We start from the raw sequence: 14,709 nt of genomic DNA on the forward strand, positions 1-14,709 counted from the left end.
CTACATAATTAATAGACTGTACTCAAAGATGAAAACTCTTTAAGAGTCTTTCTTTCAGAACCATCAATTAGCACATTAAAAAAAGTCATTTACTGTGGGCACGTGTGGTTACCATTTTACAAATTCAAAGCTTAATTGAGCCTTGAGAGGTCAGTGGTGTGATTATTAAAGGTGAGATCTCTGAAAAAGTACCCTTCACTCCCTCCATCACCATCACCAGAAACTGGCCCATTGCTAAGCTGGCTTGGAGAAAGTCTGACTAAAGGAGAAAGACCAAAGTAATGACTCAGCACCTAGGCAAGAGTTGATCCTTCCTGCCTGATTATTCTAATGGAATTTGAAAGGCCCTAAAATGTTGCACATCAAATGGGATTAGTTCTGAATGAGAGCTTTTCTACTCACATAGATTCATCTGTCAAAGGATAAATTATAATTTCAATATAACTCATTCACTACTTAATAAGCACTCACTAGACACTGTTCTAGAAGCTGGGAGTGTTTTGGAAGCCAGATGAGGGCCCTGGTGGGGAGTTAGACTATAAACAAACAGATAACTGAGCTGAAGATAAGGCCTACAGAGACTGATAATGGGATAGAAAGTTTTAGGGAGGCCTAAGGAAGCATCTTTAGAAGAGACAATTGCACTCTGCATGACGAGAGACCACCAGCCTTGCAAAGATCTAGAGTGAGGGCATTCAGACCCAGGGAACAGTTGGCACAAAGACCCTAAGGTGAAAGAAATTTGCCATTTCAGAGAGAACAGAGCAGTGAAGAGGACAGCAGGGCTGGCGTACCATGGGGCAGAGGAAGGATATTTTACAGGTTGCTTCCACGGAGGAGCCTCCTGCCATCTATTTCTGGAGCTGCTGCTCGCCTGCCCCTGGTTGTTCTTTGCAATGTCTGAGCACAACATGGGACCCAGCCATTCCAGCTCATCCAACCTAACTGCCCACAGAGACCCTTCTCTCGCTCTCCTATTTTCAGAGTTTTATACTCACCATTTTAGGGAAATAGATGGGATCTGTTTACCTTTCTGTTTCTTCTTTTTTTCATTAGAATCTCATGATTAAATTGTCTAATAGACTTTATCTTTATCTTTGCAAGGCGGTGTCGGTGCTTGAAGCTAAATGAACAGTAAAAACCTGTAGGTAATAGTATATAAAACTTTCTCCCAGATTCTGAGCCCACCCGAGCTCAGAGGTACTTCCTTTCCTTTCAGATGATCCAGCCAGAGATTGCAGTTTAGGTAGAACAACGGGGGTGCAATGGTCTAATATATGCTAGTTGCATTTTGCAAGACCTTCAGAATGGGTGACTAGTGACACTAAATTCTCCACCTTCTGCGGAATTTCTCAAAGATAAGCAGTGATTTTCCTAGAGATGGGAAGTTTGGGTGGATGGGCATTCTCCCAGAACTGGAACCCATGATTTTCTGCATGAAAACAGATTCTCTCTCATCTAAGACTCCACCACCTTCTAAGAATAAGCTCTAAAAGATCCTGGTTCTTCCAAGCAAAGTTGAAACAGCAGTTCAAAAGGAACCCATAGAAAATGGCCTCAAGAAATCAGTGGACGAGACTGAAAGTTGTCCCCATCAGAGCTGCTCCAGCTGCCAAAGTAGTGGCCCTGGCCATGACCTGCTGACTTGCTTTTGTGGGATCCAGGCCACTTCCTCTCTGCTTTTCTCTTCAGCAAAAATTTGTTTTTCAGAGCCCGGCCTGAAGACTCCCTTGGAAAATTCTCCGAGCCCTGAGCCCAACACGCTCTTCTACACCAGTTACTATGGTCTGATTGAGAGAGGTTGGCTCAAGTTCCTTACACCAAATTTGGATTTGGAACACTGACAATCGAAATGTTAGGTCTTAACAACTTCCTCACTTTTATATGCACAGATATATATTCAGATTCTATGCGGTTAGACTCAGTTTTTCAGTGAGTGAATTTTTCTCTGAATGATTTAGTCATTGTGAAACATAAGACTTGGACCACAGGAAGCAAACCATGATTAAGAATCCAGTTCAAATTTCATTCTCTTTCCCCTGGGGATAAGAAGGTGCAGCCAGAAGGAATGTAATTATGGTAATTACTTTCTCTGAGGTGTGATAACAGTTTTCTGCCATGCCTAGGGAATGCAGAGGTTAGGCGGTTTCTGTCACCAGTCCCCACTGGGTGGGGCTACATAAACTTTATTTTGGAAATACTAGAACAGTAACCACTTTTGCCAGGAACATTCCTTGGAAGATGAATGAGGACTGGGCAGTGCTAAACATTACATAAAACATTTCTTTATAAAGCTTTTTATTATTTTATGGGGCAATCTCTCTGTTCTTTTAATGAATGATAATGTGTGAAAAAGACCCAGCTTCATGAAGATACCACGTAATTCAGGAGATCTTACTACATGCCCTTAAGATCTTCACATAGAGAAGCAGTCTATTTGATAGGAAACAAAAAAGCATAGTCATTCACTGATACCCATGCAAGTCAAATTAGTTAAAAGGAATGGAGGTAAGAGGTATTACCATCTCCCAGCTTCAGTAGCACTAAGTAATGGTGTGCTTACAGACTTAGGAAGGTATTCCAACCCTCCTGAATCATCCAAGCCCCAATTAAAGAGCATTAACATTGCTGAGGGCTGCATTTAATGGATGATTTGTTTTCTGCAATTAACTTTAGTTAATTTCAGATTAACTCCAAATTATTTTTAGTTTTCTACATAAAGGGACATGATCCTTTTCATGGCAATAATAATGTAAACAGGGCTCCTTTTCTTCCCACAGATGGAAAAACAATCTTCCAGGAAGCTCTAATTATTTTAAAAGATCTAGTAATATTTTATATGCTGGGAACTTCATTAGATGAAAGATGATGGAATTTATAGATAGTTTAAAAATAAACAGTAACCAATTTCCATGTAGTAAAACACTACCACATTTTTCTGTATTTACACTTCACCCAATGTGGGCAGGGTCAGGACTTGACTCAGTTTAAAGAATTCCCGTGGACCTGGGCAGGATCTGCTGGGTGTGGACACCACAGTGGTGTGTACATGCTCAGTCCAGCCCGCTAAGTCTCAAGCCTGGCCTTTCAGCATAGCAGAAGCTTCTTCGTCTCAAAGAATGTGATTTGGAAACAGTTGGTTATTGTTATTAATTATTTTAACTGCTGCAATTTGAGCATTTATTGTATTACTTGCATTTAAATCCTCACTGTTTTTTTTCTTTTTGATTATTTTTTCCACATGTTCTAAAGAATTTTTTTAAGTTAAATATTATTATCCATATTTTACAGATGAGAAAACTGATCCGTAAGAAAGTTGTGGAAAATTTAAGGCTCTTGCCCCAGGTCACCTCGTTAATAATGAATGGGAAAAAGATAAACAGATTTCAATCCTGGCTTGTGGATATGCTTTCTTTGGCACACAAATTATTTTAAAATTTTAGATTTAAATGTCAACGTTTAAAAGTTGGGAGGCTTTAGAAATAAATCCACATTCCCTATCTCTTGAAAAACTAGAAGATCCAGCAATGCCACTTGTAAATTCTTGTGTGATAATAGCTAGAGCTTAGTAACAGCTGCTTCTTAGACAGGAGACCAGCTTGCCAAGGGCCAGGCTGGGCCTGCTCCCCTCATTGGTTTTGCCCTTCCCAGGCCACGAGACCTTGGAATTTGTGGTTCCTGCCTTGTTTAATCCCTCTTGTGCTTGTGAGTGAGGATCAGGCCGCCCCTTCCCTTACTACCTGCCTCTAGCGGTAGGGTGGGGCAAGGGAGTAATAAGAGCTTTATAAATGATTGCTATCCTACCTAGGAAACTTTCAAGGCTTTCCCTTTATTTTAGCTTCTTTAGAAATTAAGTTCATTCAGAGATCACCACTGAAAATAGAAGAAAGCATTATATATTAGACCTATAATAGCTGTTTACAAAACTAGGTGAATTGCTGTCTACTTTTACAGCTAGAAAATCATTCTACTTCTGTTCAGTTTTAGTATGTGTAACCTTTTCTTTTGACTTTAATTACAAAGTCACATTGCATGTGCATTTTCAAGTGTGTAAATCCAAGTGAAAAGTTATATTTTTTATTTGCATCTATTTACCCAACACAGAGTTCAAACGTCTTTTCATATGTTCATTGTCCATTTATATTTCTTTTCCTGTGAATTATCTCTTCATATCTTTTGTCCATATTCTATTATTTGATCTTTCCTTATTGTTTTACAAAAGATTTGTGAATTGCATAGTTTCTTCCCTGTTTGTCTATGTCTTTTGTTTTATTTTGTGTTACTCATTCCTCCCTGTCTATGTCTTTCAATTTGGTTACTTTTTTGGGGGTGGGGAAGGGGGGTCATACAGAACTTTTTTATTTTTGTGTAGTAGTTTCATTTTTATTTGTTTATTTATTTATTTACTTATTCATTTTTGAGATGGAGTTTCACTCCTGTTGCCCAGGCTGGAGTGCAATGGCGTGATCTCGGCTCACTGCAACCTCTGCCTCCTCGGTTCAAGTGATTCTCCTGCCTCAGCCTCCTGAGTAGCTGGGATTACAGGTTCCCACCACCACACCTGGCTAATTTTGTATTTTTAGTATAGACGGAGTTTCACTATGTTGGCTAGGCTGGTCTCGAACTCCTGACCTCAGGTGATCCACCTGCCTCAGCCTCCCAAAGTGCTGGGATTACAGGTGGGAGCCATGGCCCATTTGTTTATTTTTTTAGTTGGCGTCTCACACTGTCACCCAGGCTGCAGTGCAGTGGCACAATCATAGCTCGCTGCAGCCTCAACCACCTGGGCTTAAGGGATTCTCCCACCTCCTCCCAGCTTCTCCCATCCCAGCTTCCTTAGTAGCTGGGACCACAGGCGTGTGCCACCACGCCCGGCTAATGTTTTTATTATTTGTAGAGATGGGGTTTTGCTATGATACCCAGGCTGGTCTTGAACTTCTGGGCTCAAGCAATTCTCCCTTCTTAGCCTCCCAAACTGCTAAGATTACAGGCATAAGCCACCAAGCCCTGCCAATGTATTAGTTTAAAAGAAGCTATAAAATTATGGGTTTGGGGTATACTGGCAAAGGTTTTCCCTATCCTAAGATTAAAAAAAAAAAATCATACATTGAGTACCTTGCAGACTTAAGTTTTATATTGAAATCTTTGATCCACCTGTGATACATTTTTCTGTAAAATATGGGGTAGAAAATACAGTTTATCACGTTTCAAGTGATTATTTACAGAGTGAGTCATATTTTGTCCACTGATTTGTAATGCCACCTAAAATATTTATCAAATTCCTTTACATACCAAATCTCTTTCTGGAATAGTTATTGTTTAATTTTCTGTTCACATATTTATTGCGCCAACACCAAACTATTTTAATTATTGTAATATTGTATTTTAATATGTGATTAGACTGGCCGGGCATGGTAGCTCACGCCTATAATCTCAGCACTTTGGGAGGCTGAGGTGGGTGGATTGCCTGTGCTCAGGAGTTGAAGACCAGCCTGGGCAACATTGAGAGACCTCCATCTCTACAAAAAATTAAAAAAATTAGCTAGGCAGGTGGTGCGCGCCTATAGTCCCAGCTACTCAGGAGGCTGAGGTGGGAGCATTACTTGAGACTGGGAGGCAGAGGTTGCAATGAGCTGAGATTGCGTCCCTGCACTCCAGCCTGGGTGACAGAGCAAGACCCTGTCTCAAAAAAAAAAAAACAAAAAAAAATCCACACACATATATGATAAGACTAATAATCCCTCAAAACTCTTCATTTTCAAAATTTTATATGGGATATTACATTATTCCTCTAACTTGTTTTTTGTCTATGTAAAAACTATAAATTCTCGACTTCTTTTTTTTTTTTTTTTTTTTTTGAGACAGGATTTCACTCTGTTGCCCAAGCTAGAGCACAGTGGCACAATCTCGGCTCACTGCAACCTCTGCCTCCCAGGTTCAAGCAGTTCTCATGCCTCAGCCTCCCAAGCAGCTGGGATTACAGGCATGCCCCACCACACCCGGCTAATTTTTGTATTTTTAGTAGAGATGGGGTTTCACCATGTTGGCCAGGCTGGTCTCAAACTCCCGACCTCAGGTGATCCACCTGCCTTGGCCTCCCAAATTGCTGGGGATACAGGCGTGAGCCACTGTGCTCGGCTGACTTCATTTTTTAATTTTTATTTTTTGTTGGATTCTTTTATGCTTTTCAATGACCTAACTTCATATTTTTAATAAGCCAGTCATCTTCCTAAATTTCTCCATTGCTTCTAAATAGTTTTTAGTTGATTAAGTTTGGTTTTCCATATCATATAATCATATCATCAGCAAAAAGCCGAAAAAAAAAATACATAGGTTAGTCCTAACAATCATCCTCACACTGAGAAAACAGAAGCAATCACAGTGAACTTCCATGAAGTTTCCGTTAACAATATTTATGTCCTACTTCCTACCAGTATTTGTATTCCAACATAGATGCTTTCCCTCCCTCCTCATTTTACTTGGAGAACAGATTGGCCTGGTCTCAACCATTATTGCAGGAGAAAGGTGTAAATGGTAAAGGAAGGCACAGTTTGGATTAGGCCACAAGAAGGAGCAGATGATACCATCAGATGCTTATAGGGTTGGGGCAGCTAATGGGCTTCTAAACTATTTGGTCCCTGGCTTACTTAGCAAGAAGGGTAGGGAAGACCAAACTCTGCACTCTTTTTTTTTTTTTTTTTTTTTTTTGAGACGGCGTCTCCCTCTGTCTCCCAGGCTGGAGTGCAGTGGTGCGATCTCAGCTCACTGTAACCTCTGCTTCCCAGGTTCAGGTTCAGGAGATTCTCCTGCCTCAGCTTCCCAAGTAGCTGGGACTACAGGCGCCCACCACTATGCCCGGCTAATTTTTGGTATTTTTATTAGAAACGGGGTTTCACCGTGTTAGCCAGGATGGTCTCCATCTCCTGACTTCATGATCTGCCAGCCTTGGCTTCCCAAAGTGCTGGGATTACAGGTGTGAGCCACCGCACCTGGCCTGTGTACTTTTTATCCTATCCGTTTCCTCCCCAACAAGAAGATTGTTCTTGCAATCACACTCCTTTTTCTTTTTCTTTTTTTTTTTTTTTTTTTTTTTTTTGTTATGAGACAGAGTCTTGCTCTGTCGCCCAGACTGGAGTGCAGTGATATAATCTCGGCTCACTGAAATCTCCACCTCCCAGGTTCAAGCAATTCTCCTGCCTCAGCCTCCCGAGTAACTGAGATTACAGGTGTCCACCACAAGGCCCAGCTAATTTTTTTTTTTTTTTGTATTTTTAGCAGAGATGGGGTTTCACCATGTTAGCCAGTCTGGTCTCGAACTCCTGACCTCAAGTGATCTGCTTGTCTCGGCCTCCCAAAGTGCTGGGATTACAGGCGTGAGCCACGGCGCCCTGCCCACATTCCTTTTTCACCAACTTTTCCTCTATTGAGTTATTTCCATCAACGTGTAAACTTATTATTTTTCTGATCTTAAAATGAAATACTCAAATTGTGATGAATGTAAAAGAAAAAAAGAGATAAAATTTTCTTTGACCCACTTCTCCTTATAGCTTATCTCATTCCTCTATATACCACTTTACAGCAACACTCCTGGAGTAGCCTTTACTTTCCCTCTCCAGTTCCTCTCCTCTCATTGTTACTTTCATGTCAGAGTGCTTTTTGCCTCCACCACTCCGCTGAACAGCTGTTGTTAGTAGTCCTAACAAAATCTATTTGCAAATGTTTGCCAAAGTCCAAGAGTGTAAACTTAAAGCTGCATGCTAAAATGTCAGCGTAAAGCAGGTACACACACAAGTACGCGTCACCGCCAACCTGTTCCTTTACCTGGCAAACCTTAGAAGGAGCACGTGAACAGTGTGCCAACTTTCAGCTGTGGGCCAGCGGCTGGAACCCTCACCTGCATGTTGAGCTGCTTATCATGCAGGGCTCTCTGCAGCTCCAGCAGGCTCCCCTTGAGCCTTCTCAGCTTTCCAGCCAGCTGCTCGGCCTCGTCCTTGGTGTGAGCTTTGCCCTCCAGCAGCAGGTTCTCATTGTGGACTGACAGTTCTGATAAAGCCACCACCTTCTGCTCTATTTCCACCAGCATATTCTGCAGCAACAGAAATAAGAATGAAACTCACACATCTCCCCAGCCTCTGCAAAGACTGTTTCCCACAGTGAAATACAGCCCTTTGGAGTCTTTTACGAAACGGACAGGCTTTCATGATTTTTTGTAGTTTTCCCACGGCCTTGACGAGTAAGTAGTCTGTAGGCTTTTTTTTTATATTTTTTAATTTATTTTTATTTTTTTAGACAGAATCTCACTCTGTCGCCCAGGCTGGAGTTTAGTGGAGCGATCTTGACTCACTGCAAGCTCCGCCTCCCAGGTTCACGCCATTCTCCTGCCTCAGCCTCCCGAGCAGCTGGGACTACAGGCGCCCACCACTATGCCCGGCTACTGTTTTGTTTTTTAGTAGAGACGGGGTTTCACCGTGTTAGCTAGGATGGTCTAGATCTCCTGACCTCATGATCCGCCCACCTCGGCCTCCCAAAGTGCTGGGATTACAGGAGTGAGAGCCACTGCACCTGGCCCTTTTTTGTTTTTGTTTTTTTTTGAGGGAGGGTCTTGTTCTGTTGCCCAGGCTGGAGTGCTTTGGCATGAACATGGCTCACTGCGGCCTCCATCTACTGGGTTCAAGGGATCCCCTTGCCTGAGCCTCCCATGTAGCTGGGATCACAGACATGTGACACCACACCTGGCTAAATTTTTTATTTTTTCAACAGAAACAAGGTCTCACTTTGTTGCCTGGGCTGGTCTCAAACTCCTGGGCTCAAACAATGCTCCCACCTCAGCCTTCCAAAAGTGTTGGGATTACAGGTGTGAGCCACTGTGTCTGGTGACTTTTAATTGTCTGTTATGGTATTAGAGGGGTCCATAAAAAATTTGCCTGAGCCTCTCAATTTTTCTTTTCTTTTCTTTTTTTTTTTTTTTTTTTGAGACAAGGTCTCCTCTAAAATGGAGACTAAATTAGAGAAAAAGAAAAATAGCCTTTCTTCTTCCTAGATAAGACTTAAAACAAAAAACAAAAAAGACTAAAAAAAAAAACAAAAAAAAGTTTTACTTTCCTTATAAATCATTGTTTTTATGTTAATTCTGCACCCTTTGAAATGTACTTTCTTCTTTATATTAAATAAAGTAATTTGTTAATGAGAAAAGATACTTCATTTCCCTATACAAAATCAAAATTAAGAATATAAAGTCAGGCTGGGTGTGGTGGCTCTCACCTGTAATCCCAGCACTTTGGGAGGCCGAGGCAGGCAGATCGCTTGAGCTCAGGAGTTTGAGACCAGCCTGGGCAACATAGTGAAACCCCGTCTCTCCAAAAAATACAAAAAAATAAGCCAGGCGTGGTGGCACGTGCCTGTACTCCCCGCACTTGCGGGGCTGAGGTGGGAGAATTGCTTGAACCCAGGAAGTCAAGGCTGCAGTGGGCTGAGGTTGCACCACTGCTCTCCAGCCTGGGTGACAAAGTGAGACCTTGTCTCAAAAAAAAAAAAAAAAAAAAGAATATAACATCAAACCAAAAAACTAGAACTAAGTAGAAGAGTAATACTTTTATTAAAATAGGAATTAAAAGATGATTTCCTGAGGATTATTGTTAAGAAATTAACATAATTCTGTGCAGGGTTGATTTTACCATTAGGCACAGCAAGTACAGTGCTGAGGGTCTGTGATGCTTTTAGAGCCCCAAGAAAATGTTTGATTTTAATTTCTTTTAAAATCAAAAGAAAAAAACTGAATATAATAATATGGAATACATCACAACAAATCTATTCCGAATCATGTAAGTCTTTGTACCACAGCAATTGTAAAACTGAAAACATAATTTTTAGCACTTCCATGGGGGAAACAGCCTACAAAAATGAAGTGCCCAGACCCACAAAGGACATCACGTGGTTCCAATTCTGTGTAATAGTCACCGTTATAATTAGTGTGCAACTGAATTCATATTAGATTTTAACTGACAAGATTTTAGCTGGCTTATATGTAAGATTTTAATTGAATCTAATTAAAATTTGAATTAATTTAATGTAGTAATTTAATATTAGATTTTTAAAAACTATTTTCTGGTGTGATTTAATATGTTTCCAGTTTCTTAAAGTAAGCTTGTCCAACCCACGGACCATGGGCCGCATGTGGCCCAGGACAGCCTTGAATGTAGCCAACACAAATTCAGAAACTTTCTTAAAATGTTATTTTTTTTTTGTAATTTTTTTTTAAGCTCATCATCTAGTGCTAGTGTATTTTATGTGTGGACCAAGACAATTCTTCTTCTTCCAATGTGGCCCAGGGAAGCCAAAAGATTGAACACCCCTGTCTTAAAGTATGGTCAAAACACTATTTTAATACTTTGGAAAAGTATTGAAATACATTACCTGGTTTATGGACTTTATGTGTTACAATAAAAACAGATATCTTCACAAGAGAGAGGTGGCAGTATGATAAAACATAACTTTGAAATGTTAGTTTGGGTGGTAACTTCAAGTGCCAAAAGGCAATGGGCTAATAGATGTTTCTTCTCAAAAAATAAACATTAGAAAGAAGATATAAAGAGCAGAAAAACTTGCATATGGCTAATTAATCTCTATCATCATGGCAAAGAATAACAGTGCTTTGGATACACATAGATAAGTTTCCTAAAGCATTAAAAAATCCGAATGATAATGATCAATATTATGAATCTCAAATCACAAATAAGAATAGCCAAAATGGTGTACCGTAAATTAAGAAAAAAGTTAGTGTGCACTAAGTAATGATTTTCACATATTTCCTCTGAGTCCAAAAAAAAGGAATATAAAGTTGTATATATTGATACTTAACCCTGAAGACTAGACAGGGTTTTCTAGATATTTCCTAGTTAATAAAATGAAAAAGCTTTTAAGGTATACTTCACCCATGTGCGAAGTCAAATATGAAGATCATCATTGAAGTTTGATGACAAGCATATGGGACTTCATTATCTATTCTTTATACTTATATGCATTTTTGAAAAATTCCATAATAAAGAGGTAAGAAAATAGCATTAGAATAAAGACTTTAATGCAATTACTCCTCACAGTAATTCCTAGAGCCCTAACATAGGTGGAAAACACATTCTCTGCTCCAAAAGACAGCCTTCCCATCTTCAGTCTCCCTGTTTGCCTAAAACTGACACTTGGAAAAGTTTTCCGAATAATATATCAGGATTAGAACCAAAATTGTAACAGAGCACCTAGAGATACTTCCTGTTGTGTTTATTTCCAGTCTGACTCACTGCTACTGATTCTCCCCATTGGCTTTGTATTCCTTAATAAGTACTAAATACAGATATTATGGTATTTTGGTATCTACAGTTTTTAAACATGACCTTTAGGAAGCCGGAGACACTGTGGTCAATGTTTTTCAAAAAGTGAGTCCAAGTTTGGATTTCATTTAAGCTTTTATAATGTATTACTTTTCTATTCTTTAAATGTATAAAGTCTATGGGTTGGGAAAAATCATATATCCACACCAAGCCTTTTTATAGTATGTTTTCTGTAGTTTAAAAAAATGTGCTTCATGATGTTGACATATTCCTTTGAGACCATTTTGGTACCTGGCAGTCCATAAGCTGGGCCTCCATGTCCATGGGCTCCTTGGGTGGACTCAGCGCAGTGTCCAGAGTGGCCTTGGTACTCAAGAGCCAGCTGTCCAGCTCATCGGCTTCACAGCGATACCTCTGCAGGGCCTGTTCCTGCCTTTGTTCCTCCAGCTGATCATTCAACTTCTCCTGTTGAATTCAGTAGAAGGTAATATAGATCACGCTAAGGTAAAATCTTGAGAATTTAACACAGTAAAGCAATGGTTCCAGGCCCTGGCTGTACATAAGAATCACTGGTAAAACTTTTAAAAATTTCCTTTGCTTAGGCCACATCCCAGAACAACAATCAGAATTTCTAGGGGTGAGTCTCAAAATTGGTATTTTTAAAAAGACTCCCTAGTGATTTTAATGTGTACCTAGAGTTGAACAAGGTATTCTCAAATAACATACCTATAGGACCAGGCAGTAATAGAAATGATGGAAATCAGTCAAGGATTAGAACAAAACAATGGCATAAAGCGGTTGGTAAATGGCAGTAGACACCGGACCTCTATTTCTGGGAAGAGTAGGGAGTGATGGAGACTGTGGCAAACTGAAAAACATGCGGCCTGTCTAAAACAGCAGCCACATACAGTTTCAGGCAATTGATCCCTGTGGGAAGCGGTGGCCCAGTGTTAACTTTCATCTCCAGTAAAGGGAGAAATCCAAATTTCTAGGTTAGCTCTCTGAGTTTTTCAATGATTGCAAATAATTCATGTTGAAAAAAAAATCGACGTCAATCGCTTCATTTTGAAACCCCCACAAGTTTTTCATAGAGTTACTGGGGACAATATAAATGAATTAAAAGTTAACTTTTAAAATACTCTAAATACTTTATTTTAAAAATTATTTTATGAATAATTCATTATTTTAAAATTAATTTTATTAAACCATTTAAAATAGAAATTAAGAAGTAGGGCAGACACATCGGCTTTAAATTTCTCTAATACAAGAAGTATTAGGTTGGTGCAGAAGTAATTGTGATTTTTGCCGTTACTTTTGCACAAATCTAATATATGAATATATTATTTGACTAATCATATAATAGGTAAAACTAGAGAGAGACTACACACCCAGCAACAGGGTCATGGTTAATTGCATTATGGTGTAATTAGCAGCTAAATAAAATAATATTCAGTTCATATAATAAGAAATGTATTGAGAACCCATTATGTGCCAGAGAAGCTGCTAAGAGATACAAGATGATAGATACTGTAAAGGTCTTTAGGGAGCCTCCAGTCTAACCAAACTACAGGAGCAACAATATGAGTAGCCTAGAAGCTTAGGGCCAAGAATTTACGAGAGAACAAATAAAAAAGGAAGATAGCTGATTTTTAACACAGATATTACTGCTGCCCAAATTTGTCTCTATATTAAATAATATTTAAATTAAGTAACGTGGGAACCAGAATAGCAAGAGTATTTTCATGAATTACTATGTCTGAATTGGCTAACAGTGACTAAGTAGGATTTATTCTTTATAGTGTTAGTAATATCATCCATCAAATGCTGTCGTGTAAACATAGCAAACCATTATGCAAATCCTCTACAATTATTCTTCACAAGGCTCATGTCTACCAAGAATTTGCTTTCCACATTCTCAATATTTCACGCCTGAAATGAGTCAGAAAGGAGTCAAAGGACATATTCATGGCTACACACTGACTGTACTCTATTCGGGAGACTGTTTTGTTTTGTTTGTTTGTTTGTTTGTTTGCTTTTTTGAGACAGAGTCTCGCTCTGTTGCCCAGGCTGGAGTGCAGTGGTGCAATCTTGGCTCACCACAACCTCTGCCTCCCGGGCTCAAGTGATTCTCCTGTCTCAGCCTCCCAAGTAGCTGGGACTACAGGCACACACCACCATGTCTGGCTCATTTTTATATTTTTAGTAGAGACAGGGTTTCACTATGTTAGCCAGGCTGGTTTCAAACTCCTGACCTCGTGATTCACCTGCCTCAGCCTCCCAAAGTGCTGGGATTACAGGTGTGAACCACCCCTCCCGGCCGTGGAGACCATTCTTGAAACACAATCCCAGCTTAGGAGAGGGAAGCAATGAAAATGTAAATACGTAAGTAACCCACATACTTGGTAACACAACGTTAAAAGTTAACTCAGAAGTGAGGAGGCCACTTTACAGTTATTGGTTACCTCCAAAAGCTGCCGTTTCCCCGAGGCTTTCATCCTGATGGTGGACATTCGCTCGGCTAAGACAGTGAGCGTGGACTGCAAGGCCAGCTGCTCCGCAGGGTCGGCCTCACAAGACTCGGATACCAGCTCCTCTGCGAGAGAGGACTGGAGCTCATTGATTTCATCCTGGAGCATGAGAATCTCATCCATCAATGCCTGGAGGAAAGACTGTGGAATCACACTCATGTATTCATTTCTTCACTGAGGGATCATTAGCACTAGCTGAGTCTCACATCCATTGGGATTAGCGGAAGAGATTTCACCTGGGAATCATTAATCAATCAACAAATAGCAGCCTACTCACCTACATTTCTAAATGAAAGGCCAGGACTTTTCTGATTTTATGTATGTATCACTAACCAAAGTGAGTTTGAACAACTTAATTAATCTTTCTAGTTTTCAATAGGATCATCTGTAATACAAGGATCATCTGTAATACCAACTTATTTTTTATTTTTTAGAGACAGAGTCTCACTCTGTCACTCAGGCTGGAGTGCAGTGGTATGATCACAGCTCACTGTAATCTTGAACTCCTGGGCTCAAGCGGCCCTCCTGCTTGAAGCTGGGACTGGTGTGTGCTACCACACCTGGTAATTTTTTTTTTTTTTTTTTTTTTTTTTTACTTTTTGTAAAGACAGGATCATGCTATGTTGCCCAGGCTGGTCTCAAACTCCTGGCCTCAGGGAATCCTCCAGCCTGGATCACAGGCATGAGCCACCACATTTCTCAATCATTTCTAAGAGTCTCCAATACAACGTTGAAAATAAAATGTATTACTTTCTTCCTCAACATGATTTTCCCACATTAACCTGTTGCTTTCCCCAAATCTGAAACAGCATTGAACTCTAGTCCAAAACTCACATGGTTTCTCACAGGATGGGAGAAAC

At 40.0% G+C, this 14,709-nt stretch overlaps 1 protein-coding gene across 49 annotated transcripts in view; it reads right to left on the reverse strand.

Moving 5' to 3' along the window:
* SYNE1 (spectrin repeat containing nuclear envelope protein 1) overlaps window positions 1-14,709 on the reverse strand; it is a 515,676-nt gene that overhangs the window by 148,508 nt on the left and 352,459 nt on the right. For 36 of the 49 annotated variants that reach the window (XM_047418508.1, XM_017010610.2, XM_017010609.2 and 33 more), the window contains 3 exons: window positions 13,784-13,990; window positions 11,613-11,786; window positions 7,895-8,086 (listed from right to left, as the gene is read on the reverse strand). In XM_047418508.1, coding sequence (XP_047274464.1) covers window positions 7,895-8,086; window positions 11,613-11,786; window positions 13,784-13,990 — 573 coding nt within the window. The remainder of the gene's footprint in view (window positions 1-7,894; window positions 8,087-11,612; window positions 11,787-13,783; window positions 13,991-14,709) is intronic. The other 13 variants (NM_182961.4, NM_033071.5, XM_017010615.2 and 10 more) reach the window with 1 other exon arrangement.

This window comes from Homo sapiens, chromosome 6, assembly GCF_000001405.40.
Source record: "Homo sapiens chromosome 6, GRCh38.p14 Primary Assembly".
In the NCBI taxonomy this organism is placed as follows: domain Eukaryota; kingdom Metazoa; phylum Chordata; class Mammalia; order Primates; family Hominidae; genus Homo; species Homo sapiens.